Raw genomic sequence first — 20,251 nt, 5'->3', positions numbered from 1 at the left:
TGCCAAGCTACAGGACACCAATTCAATAGGATGAAGTCAGTCAAATCCTCTTTTAAGTAATGGTTGAATAAAATAAAATGAGGGGAAGAAAATCAAGTACTCTAAATGATTAAAGCGTATGAATAAGTGAAAAATGTTTGCAAAATTGAGAAGGAAGGAGAATCGGGAAGTGGTTATTTATGGTGTCTCAATATGTAAGGGTAAAAAAAGAAATTTAATATAATAAGGATAAGCTAAAAGCAAAGAGGAAACGTTGAAGCCCTTTACCTCTCACTCTGTGATGTATAGAAATTCTAACACAGCTAGATAGTTTTTCCTCCTGGCTATCTCAAGTGAGTTTGCCAATTAGAAAGAATATTTGTTTATTGAGAGAGAATAGAAATCTGAGACTCAGATAAACAAAAACTGCCTCTAACAAGGCTTGCATTCTTACAGACTCCAGTAGAATTTATCATCCTCATAGAATCAAATGGTACAAATTCTCCCCCTCCCCTCCAATCTCTTGCTGTGACTCCATCAACAAGCCAAAGGCTTGTTATCTTTGATAAGCTTGTCACCTGAGGTAACAGTGGAGAAAGTGAGGGTAAAGAGGTGAAAGATTACAGTGAGAGGTAAGAAAGGATATATCAACTCTGGCTCATAGGCTTCTAACTTGCCTAGGTGGATGTAGATGCCAATTACTGAGGAGGGTCAACTCAAGTAGAAGCAAATTTCTGAGAAAAGAACAAGTGTTTAATTTTTAATGTTAGTTTATGGTGCCTATGAGACACCCAAGTGGATATATGAAGCAGGCAGTTGAATTCTAGTGGTTGGGTTCTAATGGATTCTGGCCTGGAGAAATAAATTTGAACGTATCAGACTGAATTGAAGAGACTGCCTATAGAGAAACTGCAAAGAGAGAAAAAGGGGAATTAGGACTGAGCTTTAAAGAACACCAACCTATAAAGCATGAAAGATAAAAAGAGATATTAAACAGGCTGAGAAGGGGGAAAGAGAGGTACAAGGAAAACCAGCGAGAGTGGTAACACAACAAGTGAGAAAAAGAATAGAATGTTCATCTATGGTGAGTGCTGCCAAAAGGCATAATGAGATAGTTAATCCAGGCCTCCACATTTCTCCACTATATTGATATATGGCTTTTGAATTGGTCTCCCTGCTTCCTGTCTCAATCTCTCCAATCGATTCCTATTCCTCCTGACAGAGGGTACTTCTAAAATAGGCAACTCTCTCTGTCATTCTTCTGCTCCCATTCTTCAAAGCTCCCTGTGTCTTCAAGGTCCTTAGCAGTTCATACACCTACCACATGGTTAATTTCAAAGTCCTTAGCAGGTCATATACCTGCTGCATGACCTGGCCCCACCTGCCTCTCCAGCCTCACTGCACTCCTCTCCCCAGTGCATGGGAACCTCCAGCTCTACCAAGCCACCTGTAGCTCCTTAAACAATGGCTTCATGCCTCTGTGTTTGGGCATAAACTCTTTCCTCTATATTGGAGATTTGTCTCCCACTTCTGTGCCCGACCAAGTCCTACTCGACTTACATTCCTTCTCTAGGAAACCTTGACACTCCACCACACCCCAAGCTCAGTTAATCATGCAGCCTTGCATTTGCCTCTAAAACAACACTCTGTAATTAATTTTTTTGTCTTTTCCTCTTAATTGTAGGGTATTGTCTTGCCCATCTTTGTATCCAAAAAAACAGTGATGCGACATGTTAGATATTCAGCACAGATCTGTTGAGTAAATGACTAAATGAATGAAAACACTAAAATTCTGCTTTGCAATTTTTCTTCTACAGCTTTCTGCCATACTTCTTTATTACTCAATTGGAAGATGTAATATTTGGTAATGCTCAAGAAAACACAACTTAGCTTCTTTTTCCTCATTTCATTTGAGGATAGCACCTTTTGGACTCTGATTTTCATTCTTTGGCTGCAAAAGAGAAACATCCAGTTTTACTGGACTTCTAATAACTAGCTGCTAAAAGAACATGAATGAAAGTGTGAAAGGCTGTAAGATGGACTCACAGGATCCTTGGCATATTTCATCTACTGAGAGCAGGGTCTTCTTAAGCCAGGAGTCAGTATTAGTGTCTCACAGCTCATGTTTCGGTTGATGAGGCATGGGATCAAAATGATATTAGTCATTTGATTGAGTGCCTTATGCAGATAGTTACTGCAGAGTTTTAGGTTGCCATGATCAAACTGTAGTGTCCAAAAAGATTATAAAATAAATGACCCTTGATCAATCTAACCTAATTTTGACTTGTTAATAAAGAAAGGTAGACATGTATTCACCAATTAATTAGACAATGTTGAATGAAAATGAAAATCATCCCATTCAGCTCCCTATACCCTGATTTCTAATGATTTTCTTAAGAGTTAATTGTATCTCTCAATTCAGGGGATGCTGTCAGCTTTGGTCCATGTGCAAGTTCTGTCTTATGATATGGCCACAACCCCAAATATTGGTACCATCATTGTTCTCTGTTTAAAGTAGTCTTTAGAATTTATAGGCCAAAAAGTGAGTACCTTTCTGTGTGACCCAAGGCATTGAATAGATATATTGATACATCTCTGTACAGACCTTATGTTTAATCAACATTCATTTTAAGTGTCTTGTCCTGTGAAAACTTCTATCATTTTCTAAGACTATAAGCCTATACTTTTAGTTAGTTTAGGCTGACAGTGATTGCTTGAACTATGACACTGTATTATGATACAGTGAGACAACACCAACATTTGTGACACTGGCATTATGCTTCAAAGAAAAGAGAATGGACCCTAGTCTCTTAAGTAACCTGACAGCTCTGGTTCCACTTTCCACAATATGATACCAAGTAAAATCACATGTATTTTCTCATAGAAACGAGCCTTCCCCTAAATGTCACATTTCAAATGTTTTCAGCTACTTATTAAGTGGTCACCATTGTTTCCTGCATATGTATTATCTTTTAAAAATATAGTTGCCCTTTTATTTAGTGTGGACTGCTTAAATACAATTACTTCAAAGTGTATTATATTTTAAAGGCTTGTGCTTTCTGCTGTTTAAAAACATCGTGAATATGATAATCATTCTTTAGCCTTTAAAAAACAGTAGACCCTAATGTGTGCAATTTAGCCACAGTTGCAGACTTTAATCATAAATTATTTTAAAGGGGCACACATATCGCAGATTATGTAGCTGAATGGACCAAGTTTGGAATGAGCATCTAAAACCCTGTATACATTTTAGTCATTACCAGACTGGCAAAAAAAAAAAAAAAAAAAAAAAAGCTTCAGTGATAGCCTCTAGAATGCCATTGAACCATTTTAATGTCCCTCTGTCAATAAAAATATTCCAATGACAAGTCACAGTTATCATCTTTAGATTCAATTTTTATAAATCTTTGTTTAGCCTAAACCTTATATATCAAGATACAGCCCAATCCCTAATGTTAACTAGGCACAAACCTAACAGCATGCTGTCTCCCCAGGCAGAACATGTGTATCAGAAAGGCAGAAGAACATTGCTGCCTAAGAAGTCTCTTTAAGTATGCAAAGGGAGGTATTATCCGCTTTGCAGTTGCTTGCCTTATTAACTACATTTACTGCAAAGATGCCTTATGAGTACTAGGCTCTGGAAATCATAGTCAAAATAAAAACATTGCCTGTGAAAAGGCAACATCTTTCACTTCAAAGTATTTATGTAATATTTAACATCCTTCTGTTGTAGTTCATGATTTAATAATAGTTGCATAAGTAATACATTGATACTCATTTTTCCTCTTGTTCTACCTAAACTTTTGAACCCACAGAAAGTAGTTTCAACCAAAACAGGCCCAAGTTTATTTGCTTTCTCAGTAGCTGTCCCTGCATCTTTGAAATGAAATAGATGTCTTGATGCAAGTATAATCGGAAGTCAGATCAGAATAATCAAATGATCAAATTACTTAAATTAGACACATACTGAATTGCCTAAAGAAGAAACTGCTCAGTTGGGAAAGGCTTACAGCAGACAGTAACCTTCAATCATTTTCCACCTCTGGAATAAATATTGAGTCATATTTTGAAGGATAGGTGATCTTAAGGATACTAACAACAAAGATTGGTACAGATTAACTAACCATTGAAAGAAAAGGCTGATTGAGTTTTTGTTCAGAATAAGGAGATTCAGACAGAGAATCTAAAGCATTTTGGGCATGACAATGAAAAAATATGAAAATTATATAATATGGATTTTAATACTAAGAATGTATATAGATAGTGAAAAGGCTAATTGTATGCACTGCATGTAGCCTAGGGCTCTCAAACTCTGGGGACCTTTACCGTTCACATTGATTACTGAAGACTGATCATTAGGGCACAAAATTCATCATCATGTTTAAAATAACCTGTTCTACCTAATAGGACTATTTGGACCATTGTTTGGTAATTAAATACCAAAATGTCTAATAACCTGTACATGGTAGGTACTCCATTTATTCAACAAATATCTATTGCACATCCACTATGAGCTAGTCATTTAACAAAAATTAACAAATATTTATCATATGTATAAATGAACTAATACTTTTTGATAATTGGAGCAAAACAATATGCATTGATCTAATTAACATGTAATTTGAATCTAAACTTTATGTCTAGATCACTGAAATATAAGCATATTTTAAATTCAGAATGTATTCATTTACTTATTCATTTTTTCAACAAATATTTATTGAGTGCCTATTTTGCATCAACCATTGTTCTAGTTGTGAAGAGTACAACACTGAACAAAGCAGACAAGGTCACTTTCTATGTGTAAGTGTACATTCTAGTGAAGAAAACAGACAATTAAAAAAATCAAGTATGGGCCAGGTGCAGTGGTTCATGCCTGTAAATCCCAGCACTTTGGGAGGCCAAGGCGGGCGGATCGCCTGAGGTCAGGAGTTTGAGACTAGCCTGGTCAACATAGCGAAACCCTGTCTCTACTAAAAATAGAAAAATTAGCTGGGCATGGTGGTGGGCGCCTGTAATTCCAGCTACTTGGAGGCTGAGGCATGAGAATCGCTTGAACCCAGGAGGCGGAGGTTACAGTGCAGTGAGATTGTGCCACTGCGCTACAGCCTGGGGGATAGAGCGAGACTGTCTCAAAAAAAAAAAAAAAGTATGTAATATACCATGATTCAGAGAGGAAATAGGTGCTGTGTTAGATAGGGCACTCAGGGTAGGTTTGTTAGAAAAGTAATATTTGAGCCATGCAAGTATCTGAGATTAGGACATTCCAGGCAGAGGGAACAGCAAGTGAAAAGTGCTGGTGGCAGAAGCATGTGGCATGTTGGAGGAGCAGTAAAAGTCTAGTGTGGTTGGAGCACGGAAAGAGTGTATAAGATTGATCAGAAATAAAATGGCATAGGTAGTCAAGAGCCGGATCACACAGGGCCTCATGAACCACGGTAAGGACTACAAGTTTTATTCTAAGGTCCAGGGGAAGGAAGCCTTTGCTAGATTTTGAGCAAGGGACTGATTCTCATTTACATTTTAAAGGCATTGCCCTAGCTGCAGCATGAACTGACTTGAGGAAAGGCAAGTAGAAATGGGAGAGCAATTCAGAAACTCTCTTATTTCCCTGGTAATTTATACATATGGACTTATCTTTTGCTGTTTTTTATATCCTGAGCATCTTAGTATCCTAATTGTGGACTAGCCTCTAGGTTTTTCTATAATCAAGGAGGAGTATTTTTAATTTGTATACATTTTTACTAATTTTTCTATACCTTTGTATTCCAATTTATATACTGGTAATTTTTCCTAACATTATAATGAGTATTTTGTGATCCAAGTGACTCTGTAATCTATGAGTATGATACAAAGTTAAAGTCATCACATTTCTTTCTAAATATTTTACATATTTTTAATTATATTCTGTTACTTTTGATTAGAACTTTACATTTTAAAAGTACTTTTGCCGATTAGGAAAAAAAATCCTAAATTAGAGAACAAACTAGTTCATTTATTTAGGGGCTAGCATTTTATCAAGGAAAACATAAGCTTAAACTTCAACTCCTGTGAAGGGGCCCCTAGCTAATACAACATTTGGATGAATAATGAAAGTATCCTGCATGGTTTGTTGGCCCAGGTCCCATTGTACCTTGATATGTGTGTGATGATAATCTATCTAAGCATGCTCCAAATCTGCCTGCCTGATAACTGTCAAGTCTCAGTAGACCTTATGTCAGTGACAAAGGTATAGAACACATACTATTCAGAGACACAACAAAAGTTATCACCCAGTGATTTTAAATTGTAATCAACTATAAGCTAACTTATTTAAACAGAATTTATGTTTTATGCTATGTCCATATATAGTGTGACACTTAAAGATATTTATTTTGAAAACAAGATAAAAGATAATATGTAGGCCAGGCGCAGTGGCTCACGCCTGTAATCCCAGCACTTTGGGAGGCCGAGGCGGGTGGATCACGAGGTCAGGAGATTGAGACCATCCTGGCTAACACAGTGAACCCTGGTCTCTACTAAAAATACAAAAAATTAGCCGGGCCTGGTGGTGGGCCGGGCGAGGTCGTGGGCGCCTATAGTCCCAGCTACTCGAGAGGCTGAGGCAGGAGAATGGCGAGAACTTGGGAGGCAGAGCTTGCAGTAAGCGGAGACTGCGCCACTGCACTCCAGCCTGGATGACAGAGCGAGACGCTGTCTCAAAAAAAAAAGATAATATGTAAAAATAAAAAATATTTTGAATTTAGAGTTTATAACTGAGCTTGCTTAAAATAGAAGACTGACAATGTATAAAATGGATGACTAGACTGGGTAAAGATGAATCAGATCTCTCTTACACACTATATATAATATATACATTGACCAAACAAATTACAGTAATTAAAATACTGCCAAATTTCAGGTAATAACTGATAAGTCTAATGTTTGTCAATAGCTTGTTGGTTTCATAAAAATGATATTTCCTCTTAGAAGTAATTCAAAACACCCATTTAAAAAAACATATTATATTCCTGTAGCATCCACTTACTATTATTGAAAGAAAAGTCTACATTTGTTTATGCAGCTTAAAAAGTCTTCTGAGATGAAGCCAAGAGCAAAACCATTTTGTACACTCAGGCTTAAGAATAATATCAATTGTTTATCCAGCTCATTCTTGTCTTCCTACCACCCTTGCAGTCTTTGCTGATTCTTCTCTGCTGGATCCTTTGCTACGTGAATTTAGCAAGTTCCTCTGCCTTCCCTGACCCCTAGCACAGTGTTTTGCACAGAGTAGCCACTCCACATAGAATGGTTGAGTGAATGAATGGATTAATGAGGATTCCTGTTTGATTTTTCAGCATTTCTTTAATGTCCTTCCAATCAGTAAATTATTCAGTGATTTGTAAGTGTCCAGGGTTCCAACTATGCTCTTTATCATTGGGGAATGCTTCCTTCCTGGGGTGGATGCTCCTAGGTTCTTTGTTCCTTCTTTATCTGTAGCTATAGTCACTTAATCTCCAACCCGTTTTCTTCACACAGTTTAGTGAAAAATACATAGACCCATGAATCTTGCAATGAGGAATTCAGCCCATTATCAGTACCTAAAAAATGCTTTTGAGTGAATGATAGATTTAGGTTAAAATACAATTCTGAGTTACTTGACTTATCTGGGATGAGAATGACACTGTTAGGGGGAAATCCTCAGTGGAGAAAGGATTTACATGTCCTCTTGTTAGAAGGCACCAGGGAGACCACCTGCTGAAATTCTACTCCTTTTCCAAGTTCCAGCTTAAGCATCACATCCTCCGTGAAAGCTTTTTTGTACCCGCCAGGTGTAAGTAGTTATTACTGCTCAGTGATAGCAAAATACATTTTCATGCTAACAAGCCCAAGCTCTGATGACTCTGTTTTATGAATATTTGTTTTCCTCCTTCTGTTGTGATCTCTGTTGCCAACCGTAATCACAAGCATCATCTTTGTCTCTGATGTTCAGCCTAGTACCTGGTACCAAGTAGGTGCTCAGCTACACTTATGTGATTCAATTGAATTAAATGAGATCTATGGTAAACTAAAAGGTATATGCCTCAGTGGGGGGAAAAAAAAGTGGCAGTAATAGCTGCAGACCTCCAAACACCTTTGACCAGAGGACCTTACCTGGGGTTCACTCTAGGAGGGTACTCACAGATCCTTTCCTTTCTTACTTTTTAAAGCTTAATATTTTTGAGAAACTCAGAAGCATTTTTATTTCAAGGCAAAATGTTGAAATATTTCTACTTAAAGTCCTTCATCGCAAGAGTTTCAGAATAGCTCACAACTATTTCTGACCACACAGTCCTCTCTCGGAGCAATCAGAACTCACCGGCAATACTGCAGGAAGTCAGTGAGGAACGGCTGGTTTGAGCCTGTAAACTAAAATGCCACCATGTGTTTTTGAGTTTAACATTTTAGTGGACAAACACATAAGATGAGGACAAAGAGAGAGATGATTCCCTTCATATGATAAACTCTGCTTGAAAGTCGCTTTTATACAGACACAAACTCAAATAGTTGTTTACAAAGAAACATTATCTTGGTCCAGTGGAATGTCTCCATGCACATATTTCTTTTTCAAAGTTTGTTTAAACAACTTAGAAATAAACTTTCCTGATCAAAATCATGCAAAAACTATTTACCAAGGTTGATAATTTAAACATTTTTAAGCAAAATGTCAAAACTAATATTTTTATTTTAAATGATAAAGTACAGTGTTTTGAAAATATTAAAAGTAATATAATACTTGTGCTCTACCACCTAATTTGAACAGATGCAAACATTTAGCATATTTGCTTTTGATCTTAAGAACCATAATATTACAGATAAAATTAAGGTGTTCTCCTACCTTAATCATATTTCCCGTCTTCTCTTTCCAGGTTTCAAGTACAGTACTCCTATAAATATTTCTATTATATTTGTCTTCATTCAAATATGATATTTATTATAGCATGGTATAATATGTATTAAATATTATTTTTTAAAGTAAATTTAAAGTAAATTGACCCCAAAATCAGTAAGTAAAAGATTGATATAATCATGAAGGATAAACATTTGGTATCAGTTCTAATTATGAAGAGTTAATACCAGCATGATTTCATTAGTACTTTATTTTTATACTCAATTATAGCAGTATAATCTTTAGCAAACATCAATTGGGAAATAACATGTTACAAAAACACTAAGAATTAATTCCATGATGATTTGTTGCAAGTGCACAAATGTCACCTTATTTTCCTACCTTTATATCATAAGATGAAAAAATCTATTGAAACTTGTGAAATTGAGGATTTGTTGTTTTCATATACCACCTGTCCTTCATTTTATATACACACACGCACAATCACACACACTTACTCACTGCTTATCTCTGAGCTCCCTGAGAGCCAAGACCAAAGGAAAATACAAAAGATCTTATAACTGACTCGATTATCTAATAAAAGGAGATGTGCCATATCACCAGGTAGGACTACCTTGTGTTCTCTGAAAATAATTATCATGAGTGTTCTTACAATAAGATAAACAAACATAAGCCAAACAAATAAAAGCCACCTGAACAATGTAGTGGCCAATTATTTTCAAACTAGCAACTTTACCAGAATGCAAAGCTGTAATTTGTCTGTTGTTTCTTATCTTTCATGGATAAAATCCAAGGGCATGATGTGAAATTGCAGTTTCGTGGGAAATCTAAACTGTAATGATGTTCATACACATTTACTCCTAAAAGCCTTTTGTCAAGTGAAAGCATAACAGAGGGCCAGTTGGTAAAACACAAACATGAAGCCACCCCGATCACTAAAGTGGGTGTGGGAATCCTGGCGCTTGGGAATGTGCTTAAACGTTCAATATGATAATGACAGAATGCAGCAAGTGGGAATCTAGTCTACCACATGATTCAAAAGTGATTTTTTTAAGTAACTTTATTGTATTGTTTTTCCTTCCAACTTTTTATTCTGGGGTTTTCATGCTTCCTGACTCAGGTGTGTATAAAGACCCATCCAGTCGGAGCGACCGCACTTCTCTGTGATCATGAAGTTACCCTTGGTTATTGAATATGTTTTCCAGCTTAATGAGCAAGCACATACACATGATGCTAATGAGGAATTTTGCTTCAAGATACTTTTAAAAACGTACATGAGGAAGAATTGTTTGCTTTGAGTATTTTAAGATGTAAATGCAGCTACTTCTAAAAAGAAAGAATAATCCTGAGGAAAAGGCAATCGTGACCTATGACAATGGATGGAGAATTAAATCCTGCTTCCATCTATCATATGCACTGAAGAGGGACGTGGGAGCAACTTCTGCCTCGAAAGGAGCCTTGTTTGCTCACTAACACAGTGGGCGTTAATAAGTCTCTGCTGCCCCTGTGGTTTTGTTTCAGTCATTTTAAATCAACCCTGGAACCAGGCAGAGTATACATTAATACAAGGCATTATTCTCCTTCAGCTGTAGTTAAGGGTGCTTGCATGCTGTCACTGTTGTGATAGAAGCCTGTTTGCTTCTGTCCCAATAGTGAGGGCAGAAAACTCTCCCTATGAGGAAAGAAAGCTTTCCTGAGTCACACACACAGCTGCCTCCCTCCCTGAGCTTGGCAGCTCCTATAATAAGTTTCTAGTTTGGAACGTAGTACAGATCAGGAAAAAAGCAGGAAAGAGTAGAGCAGGAAGGACATGGGGTGACATTTTTGCCTTAGTGCTTCACTACAATATGCCTTAAGTAGCGAGCCACCAAACCCTAATGATTCTTCCTTTTCTTCCATATAGTGAATGCCTCACTCTGGGGCTTTCCTTCCTTGTCTCTATACCTAACAGCAGTAGCCTGGGAACTAGTCCCTCTGCCTGCACTCTACTGCTAGCGCCATCTTTCTAAAGCACCGCTTTCATCATGTTGACCTTCTCATCACACTGTGCTCAAAAACCTTTCAGGCCTCCTCATTCCCCAGAAGATAAAGGTCACTCCTTGGACTGGAATTGAGGCCCTTTGCAATCTGTCTAGAGCGTTGTGTTCAGCCACATTGGATGGGAAGAGTTCATTCTAATCAGACTGATCTGTGATCCTCCCAGCACACTGTATACTGTCTTCCTCCATACATTTCCCCAGGCATTCTCTCCACCACTCTTCTTCATCTAAATCCTACTCTTCTTTCCAGACAGTTCACTTTCCACCTCCTCCTCCCTATCTTATGAGCATTAAACAAAAGAGTCTTAAGGAAGTAGGAGCAAGGCGCCAGACACAGGGGAACCTCATGATAATTTCACCCCCTTTTCTGCCACTTGGTCTTGGTTTTACTTGGCAAATTAATTCTGCTGACAGCTTTGCCACTGATGTTTTTTAGATCAGTGTGTTTAATCACCTGTCCCTCTCATCTGACACCAAACACATTGCATGGAGTATGTGCCATATGAATAAAGCCTTTTAAAGCATGTCACTGAATAGTGTACATTAAACAAGAATATTAAATTTCTTAAAATGGAATGAATAGGAAAGGGAAAAAAGATGTGGCTGGAGTCAGAGTAGCTGAGATTTCTCAATAGGGGATGCAAACCTTCTCCCACAGAAAGAGCTAACTTGCTTTAAGATACTGATTTCTGAATGCCCCTCCAGATATTATTGCACCAAAATTTGTCACAATAAATCTTATATACAGTAAATCTGGAAAATCTCTTAGTCTTAGAGGGTGAGAAAGAGTATCTAATATAACTCCAACTCACCATGTCTGCACATCAGAATCACCCGTAGCATTTTTGACAACAGCGACTACCTAGGCCTCACACCAGACCTCCTAAATGAGAATCTCTGAGTTGCAACCCAGTCATCTGGTTTTTTTAAGTATGCCACAGAAGATTTTGATCTGCATCCAGAATTTGAAATCCAGGATTTGAAAGCCAGAAGTTAATGATGGACAGTATGTATTTGATTACAACTTCTCAGAAACTTTGTTAAGCAGTTGATATGCATTTAGTGACTACAGTCTTGAGTCATTATCTCCATTTTCACAGGTGAGGATTCTAAAGCTTGGGAAAGTGAAGTAGCCCAGTGCCATCCAGCTAGTAAATAAGCCTCATTAAATAGAGGTCTAATACCAAGTTCCAACCTGTAGTCACATTCTCCATCTGTCTTTATTATAATTAGACATTATTTCAATATGTGGCCATCAGTCTCTTTCCCAGCAATAGTTCCCTCTCTTCAAAATGTGATTCCGTTTTTTGGAAGTCCTGGGACCACCCAGGGCAAGAGTTTCGCAGCTCAGTTTTCCTCTGATTGGCTATTTGTTGTCCTAGTCTATTTCTGATCAGTGAGGACCAGTATTCCCAAGACCTTCCCCATGTAATGGGCCAACTTCTATGTTTTGCATCCTTATAAAGAGATCGATACTAATGGCAACTAAGCTTTTTCCACGTGCAAGATGAGCCTGGCCACCCTGGAAAACCTGAGTGCAGTCCTGGGTAATGTTTCTGGAGAAGGGCATTATTCATTCCTCCTAGATTTCAAAACTAAAAGGATTGCCCACTATAAGTTAAAAAAAAAAAAAAAAGTCACCTGAGACCTGAGTAATGACATGGGAGACTTATTAGCCTTACCAGTCAGTTAATGCTTTTCTACCCTTTGAATACAGGGTTTAATTTTTCAATGCATTTTCACATCTCTTACCTCATTTTCTCTCACAACTCACAGTCATTCCTGCACTGCAGTTTCCTTACAGATAAAATACTTATAATCAAGTTCCATCAAAAGGAGTGATGTGAGAGTTAATGAGTAAATGGGCTTAAAGTATCATAAGCATCTTGAATGAAAGGTACACACTGTTTTTACTGTTATTAATATAATGCAGTTCATCCATTACAGATCTGACAGGGATCACAGACAGCAGCTCTGACCTTATTTACTGGCCAGGCCAGAGAGGGTCTGCGTAATGGCCCCAGAGACAGACACCCTCAAGAGAAACAAAAAAACCACAGTTAAGGTCCGAAACAACCAGAAAGCCAGCCTCACTGCGGTATAGTTGGGTGCTTTGAAACTAACTAGGAATATTGTATGGTCAAAATACGGAATGGACACCAAGTCAAAGACCTTGGGAGAGGAATAAGTGACAGCCATGTTTAATAGATGAAACAAAATCTAGTGAAATTAGAGGGCAGCCACAAACCAGACACATGAATATGTAATTTGCTAGCTGCCAGGTTCTGCATTCTCACACTCTGGCAGATGACAAGGCACTTCTAAATACACAGAGAAGCTTATTTAACTCATTGCAGATCATCCTTGGAAGAGCCATTTCAAGTGAGGCAGGGAATTAAATTAATGTCAAACCCCCCGAAAATATTGATGAGATAGTTACAAATGTATGTGAGTTGTCTCAAATGCTACCTTTTACTGCTATAATTTAAGTTCCTTACTCCATCAAGTGGTCTTTAAAAATTATTTCCTATTTCTCTTCTATCTTATAATTCAGAGAGCTAAGGTTTTCAGTCAATGTTAATTTTCTTTGAAGGATTTTCAGAGGGTAGTATTACCACATACAGACCCCTGAAATTATTATTTTCGAGTAAGGCTGATTCTTTTTCTTTGTAGCCTAGAAGAAAAGAGATCTATGTAATCGCAGTGTCAAAATGTCAAAAGACTGAGATAGGTTGAAAAAACGAAGAAGAAAAGAAAAGAAAACACAAAAAACCTTAAAGGCATTCGTGCAGTCCTCAGCCTTACAAATCTTTGGCTCACATAAAATACTTGTGACATGCTATAATTAACTAGTTACTCCTCTCAGAATGAATAATAATGCAATTATTTGCCAAAAGCAGTGAAGGGATAGTTTCTGTTTTCAAAAACGTGTGCTTTTCATTTCTGCAGAAAGAAAAACCCTTGATTAATTTACATAAGTTGGTAAAGTGACCTGCAGTTTCACCATTACATTATATGATAATTGCTACCTTTTTTCTTTTTCTTTTTTAATCTTCAAAACGTATTTTTAATTATTTATTTAGAGACGGGGTCTCACTATTTTGCCCAGGTTGCTCTCAAATTCCTGACCTCAAGTGATCTTTCTGCCTCAGCCTCCTGAGTGGCTGGGACTACAGGCATACACCACTGAACCTGGCTCTTCTGTCACCTTTTTATCAGAGCCTTATGTTTTTCAGTGGTTTAATGTAGCAATAAACTGACAAGTTGCTATCATGTTCAAATTATATTGGTGCCTGAAACTGTACCCAAATACCACAAATGAGAAGTAGTAGCCTGCCTGGTGAAAACATTTTCTTGCCCCAGTTGGACTTTGATGCCATCAAGATTACTAACTGTTTGTTTCCTGTTTCCTTTGTCTGTGGAAACACAAATAAAAGGAGGACAGTGAGCCTTAGTTCTTCAGGAACCCCCTCTCCTTTGGAGACCCCACATCTGCCAAGTAGCACAAAGTTATCTCTCCTAGGTGTTAATATATAGCACAATGAATATTTTCAACTCTTTCAACACCATCTGCCATTCTCAGTAATTTATTCAACAACCATTTATTGAAGATGTTTGTAATGCACTGTACTAGGTACCAGGATGTCAAAGGTAAGTAAAACACCTTGCCCTTGAGAAGGTTGCAGAAAAGTAGAGGTATAAACAAGTAAACAGGTGCATTACCAATGCAGTAAATGCACCATGGAGGTGAGTGTGAGCCCCCCCCCCACACACACACACAAATTTTTTCACTCATATAAACACACAAAACCACCTCTACCCCATGAATGTAAACTTCCCCAAATTCCTCTTTGAAAGTTTTGAAGCAGACACCTGGAAAAAAATTAATGCTAAAACTCTCTAATTTTGTAATTTCAGTAGAGTTCATTGAGCTATACATTTGTGTGTTTGTGTGTATGTGTATTTGCGTGTAAATATTAGTTTTCATGTGGATCTTTATATAGCATTTTATTTAAGGATAAAATATTTTGAGCAACTGATGCTTTAGATAGTCAGGTTAATCTAATGCCCATAAAATTAGTTACTAATTCTAAAACCAGGTTTTAATTTGCAATGTCTTAAAACTAACATTCACTGATATATCCCAGTGATGCACAAAAAGTCTGGATTGCTTGTTTGAGAAGACAAGGACCAAGAGTCAATATGATTTAAATTCATAAAATCATGACATATTCCAAGAGTAGACATAGCCTTGGTTTTCAAATCCTATTTACTCAAAGGATTCCTTTAATCAGAGAGTGATAGGAATTTGGGTCTGTGATAGGAGTTTGGGTCTGTCTTTCTTTGTACTTTCAGTATGTAGAACAGGGCAGGCTCTGACATCAGACTGCCTAAATTTGAATTTAGGCTCTTCGATTTTCAAGCTGTGAGACTTCTCCAAGTCTCAATTTTCTTATCTGTAAGATGGGCATAGTAATAGTAACTTTTAGAATAGCAACCTTTCTTTAAGAATGTAAAATTGTTAGTGTATTCATTCATTTCATTTAGCTATCCAACATGTAGTTATTGAAAGTTTCATGTGTGCAAGATATTGGGCGGGTTGGGGATTGCAAAGATAATTCAATCACTGCAAATAGAGATCAAGATGGACTTAGAGTTTCAGACCATGGTCTTGGAATCCTGCATGTTTTTCTGACTGAATAAGCTTAATAGACATATATACATGGAATATAGTAAATAATGATTATGTAATCAGAGTTTATTGGTCTTTTGGAAACATAGAAATGGTAGGTCCTTGGTAATCCAGTCACAACATTTCCTTTTCCCCAAGCTTCATCGTTTTTGTGTTTTGTTTTGTTTTGTTTTTGAAACAGAGTCCCACTCTGTTGCCCAGGCTGGAGTGTAGTGGTGGGATCTCAGCTCACCGCAACCTCCGCCTCCCCCGTTCAAGTGATTCTCCTGCCTCAGCCTCCTGAGTAGCTGGGATTACAGGTGCCCAACAGCACATCTGACTACTTTTTGTATTTTTAGTAGAGTCAGCCTTTCACCGTGTCGGCCAGGCTGGTCTCCAACTGCTGAACTCAGGTGATCCGCCCACCTTGGCCTCCCAGGGTGCTGGGATTACAGGCATGAGACACCACGCCCGGCCAGCTTATTGTTTTCAAGCCATTTTAGCAAATCTTTGAAGTTTCTTCCACTTATTCACAAAAAAAAAAAAAATATTCTCCATAGATTTCCAATTTCCAGTGATTGCTGAGAGTCACAGGAAGTATTTTTAAAATGTACTCTTGCATTTATTTAATATATGCAAGTATATAGAGTAGGGAGCAAAGATGGAAGTTAATGATGAGGATATGCAATTGAGAAAAAGACCAATATAATCCATGCATTCCTGAAGCTTATATCCCAGGGAAACTTTCACCTCAAGGAATGAATCTATGTCCTCCTCTTGGGCTGAGAATAAAAACATCAACCATCTATACCTGTTTCTTAGCCATTCCATGAAAGGCTTTATTTGAGGCAACAAGAGCCAGGAATTTTGAGAGGAAACAAATCTTAAAAGGAGGCCTTGAGCAAGCGATGCTAGGAAAGGAAAGGGGGAAGGATGTCAGCAGCAGAAAAGCTGTGGGACCAAAATCAGATTAGTCAAACTGAAAAATAATAAATAAATAAATAAATAAATACACCAATTGGAGAATCTTGTAAAATATCCCACACAATTGTTCAATTTGGTGTTAAAGCTTAAGTGAATTTTTCAGTGAAACACTGATTCTAACCAGTCCAATTCAATCAAATTTTATCTTTCTGTCTGTATTAGTCTGTTTTCACCCTACTGATAAAGACATACCCAAGACTGGGCAATTTACAAAAGAAAGAGGTTTAATGGACTCACAGTTCCACGTGGGTAGGGAGGCCTCACAATCATGGCAGAAGGTGAAAGGTGTGGCAGCAGACAAGAGAAGAGAGCTTGTGCAGGGAAACTTCCCTTTATAAAACCATCAGATCTCATGAGACTTATTCACTATCATGAGAACAGCAAGGGAAATACCTGCCCCCATGATTCAATTATCTCCCACCAGGTCGCTCCCACAACACATAGGAATTATGGGAGCTACAATTCAAGATGAAATTTAGGTGGGGACACAGACAAACTATATCACCATCTCTATTCCCTTTGCACCATTTTGTCATGCTATCAAATGGGTTTCTGAACTGCCAATTACTTTCTGTCTATATATATATGTGACTTTTTCACTGAAACATTTAGAAATGTACACTGTATATATATATAATCTATTTACAAAACATTTACAAAAACATAAATATTAATAAAAATGTAAAATATATATATAGTGTACATTTCTAAATTTCTTTGGACTTAATTTGGATATACCGTCAAAGCCCTAATATCTTATCTAATTTACCATTTAGGTAGACAAGTGACAGAACATACCTTTCTGTTTTTCAGTTGCTAACAAACAACTTTATAGAAGACCTTGAAGGAGATAATTCCTAGAGTCTAACACAACAACAGTCAGAATCTAAACTGGTTTGAAGGCAAAAGAAACTACCTTTTTAAAAATGCAAATGTCAACCTCCTCACTCCTTTTTTATTTAATACAATGATTAAGGCTTGGCCTACAGAGTCACTTATCCACATCCGCTCTATAAGAACCAGAAGCTCTTTGAACATGTAGGCAGCTCCTGATCTCAGGTTTTCAGATGCCAAGAATCAGCTGAGGTAGCAATGTCATGTTCCAGTAGCTTGTGATCACATGGCAACATCAAAGCTAAGGTAGGAACACCGCTCCTCAATGAGTTAAGTGTTTAGAGATGGTTGCCATCTGTTGTAGCTATTTGTTCCTAAATAGGTAAATGTAAAAATAACCAGGCATTCCTACAGCAATTCTCTTACAAAATAAATAAATAAATAAGTAAGTTCATTAGCACATTTTCTGCCAGCATTTTTAAACAGCAATCTAGGTAATTCTGACACAGATGGTCTAAGGACTACACTCTGAGATGCACTGGTGTGTATACAAAGCCTCTCTCAATCAACAGACTGATCAAGCAGTGATTCCCAGGAATTGAGTCTGGTGCCAGGATGACTACTTAAGAATATAGAATGTTAGAAGCTACCCTAGATTTACTGGAGCCCAGAAATCTGCTTATGAATCTGTATACTTAAAAGTTCTCCAGGAGATTCTAATAACACAGTCTGTGGTATTAGAGAGAGGGGGTTGGGTTTTAGCTTAACAAATCTATGAGTGGGACCTTATTCCACAATTTACTAGTGTCTAACCTTATGTAATGTCTTTGGTCTGTAAAACAGCTGTTGTGAGGATTAAATAAAGCAATACATGTTGAGAGTCTAGCATGTAGTAACCTGCTTGCCATTGTATGCCTAGCTCTCAGTAAAATATACAGAAGTAAAAATGTATGCTTCATGACTTTGAGAAACATATAATCTATTTACAAAAACAACATAAATATTAATAAAAATTTAAAATATGAGTTTATATTCTAAAGCTGTAACATGGTTGTACACATACACCAGAAAACACACAAGACACAATATTCAGAATAATAAAATAGAGAAGTGTAAAGATATAGGAACAATCATATAAAATTTTCTTGAAAATGTTTAATTCTTCTTTAGGTAACCTAATTCTCATTAAATCACTGAATTTTTATTTAGATTATAGAAAAATATTAACATCATGAGTGGCAATCAACTTGTATTTATTATTTTATTATTTAAAATGAGAGGTAGAAAAATAGTAGTGTATATCTCGGAAGGGGTTTCATAGGATATGCTTAAAGGGGCCCAAGACAACCCTGAAATTTTATACAGAAGGGTTGTTTATATGAATATGGATATTTCTGGGGAGAGATCTATAGCTTTCATTTTTCCAAAGGGTTTTGTGGCCCCCCCAAAATGTTAAGGACCATTGAAGATTGGTCCTTTTAGTACATTTTATGTGCGTCCTTATTTATGCCAAAGAAATACGACTCCTGATTGCATGCCAAATAATTTACTTGTTTGCTTTCTCTGAACTGTCCTCTGAGTCAGTTTTCCACAAGCTTTAACCATTCAAATATCCCAAGAAAAGAAGGAAGAGTAAGATTCAATTTAAGAAAACTCTAAAGCAGAGTTTCATGACCTCAGCCTATTCATATTCTGCAGATATCAGCATGGAAATTTATGTACATGTTTTAAAAGTTCCAGGGCAGAAATTAACTGATGATCATTTTTGAGTTTTTCCTTTTATTTTTTATCCATTGCTCAGTTGTTTGAATTATTTTCCATTAGTTCTGTGTTTCTTTTCTTCTCAGTTAGAAAAGTGAAGGAACTTCCCTGGAAGGATACAATTCAATTTTGCCAACTTGCATTTTGTCAACTTAGCAATTCTTTCATTTGTGTTTTATTTATAATGTGGTAACAACACTATTGATGTTACATGTTTTTATTTCTCTCTTTTTTTAGGTGTGTGTGTAATATTGACTGTTCTCAAACCAACTTCAATCCCCTCTGCGCTTCTGATGGGAAATCTTATGATAATGCATGCCAAATCAAAGAAGCATCGTGTCAGAAACAGGAGAAAATTGAAGTCATGTCTTTGGGTCGATGTCAAGGTAATGTTCATACCAAAATTCATTTCAAAGAATGATTTTAGTCTTTGTGCAAAAATGAAAAGTGAAGAAAACTCCTTATTAGGCAGCTATTCCATTTCCAAAATGCAGTGCTTATTTACAATGGATAGTAGAGTCTACTGTAGCATTTGTGTCGATTATAGGATTTTGAGGGGCTCTCAGCAACCGTCCAGATCTGTCTCTATACAATGGAACTGTATTGTCACAATGCCATAAACACAGAAGCCAATATTCACAAGATAGCAGACAATTTTCTTGCAAAGGGAAAAAAGAAACTCAAAAACATTTTTAAAACGAATCTAAGAATTTATTAGACATCCTTGAAACTAAAAGCAAATCACTTCATTTTTATGTATTGATTCAGTACAAATATTTAAAATGCATTTTTAAAAGCAAGAGGTACTAGAATGTTCTATTTTCTTTCTTGTTCAGAAACAAGCATTTTCTTAGGTTTTGTTACTCCTTTGACCAATTTTTCTCAGTTATAATTGTGAATCTTCTTCTTCTCCCAAACTTTAGAAAGCTCTCTTCATTTTATTATTTGCTCTCAGACAGAAATTGACATTGTAAATCTGTCTTAGTATGATGCAGGTTGCTTAGAACTACAGTTGTAAAAATTCCTTAATTGCAATGAAGATATTGTTGGAGGAAATATATAAGTTTGATATTAGATATTTAGGAAGCAGTTAATCAATTTTTATTGTTAATTTTT

The 20,251-nt window shown here is 36.8% G+C and overlaps 1 protein-coding gene and 1 long non-coding RNA gene across 6 annotated transcripts in view, besides 1 other annotated feature; one reads left to right on the top strand and one right to left on the bottom strand.

Moving 5' to 3' along the window:
- CAVIN2-AS1 (CAVIN2 and TMEFF2 antisense RNA 1) overlaps nucleotides 1-20,251 on the bottom strand; it is a 217,342-nt gene that overhangs the window by 45,249 nt on the left and 151,842 nt on the right. The gene's annotated exons all lie outside the window — the stretch shown is intronic.
- The window catches only part of TMEFF2 (transmembrane protein with EGF like and two follistatin like domains 2), a 245,888-nt gene that overhangs the window by 176,353 nt on the left and 49,284 nt on the right, over nucleotides 1-20,251 (top strand). For all 5 annotated transcript variants that reach the window (XM_011510890.4, XM_017003739.3, NM_016192.4 and 2 more), the window contains one exon: nucleotides 19,373-19,521. In XM_011510890.4, the coding sequence (XP_011509192.1) occupies nucleotides 19,373-19,521 (149 nt within the window). The remainder of the gene's footprint in view (nucleotides 1-19,372; nucleotides 19,522-20,251) is intronic.
- Nucleotides 15,806-16,058: a silencer, noted in NCBI's record as "fragment chr2:192867249-192867501 (GRCh37/hg19 assembly coordinates)". NCBI's record gives its function as "represses an EF-1alpha promoter that drives an FKBP-Casp9 reporter gene in an ReSE screen in phorbol 12-myristate 13-acetate-treated (for megakaryocytic differentiation) K562 erythroleukemia cells {active_cell/tissue: K562(+PMA)}" and the evidence as "EXISTENCE:reporter gene assay evidence [ECO:0000049][PMID:32094911]".

The sequence above is a fragment of the Homo sapiens genome, chromosome 2 (genome assembly GCF_000001405.40).
Source record: "Homo sapiens chromosome 2, GRCh38.p14 Primary Assembly".
In the NCBI taxonomy this organism is placed as follows: Eukaryota; Metazoa; Chordata; class Mammalia; order Primates; family Hominidae; genus Homo; species Homo sapiens.
Note: the sequence above shows the minus strand (reverse complement) of the source record. Positions and strands in the feature narration are given on the sequence as shown.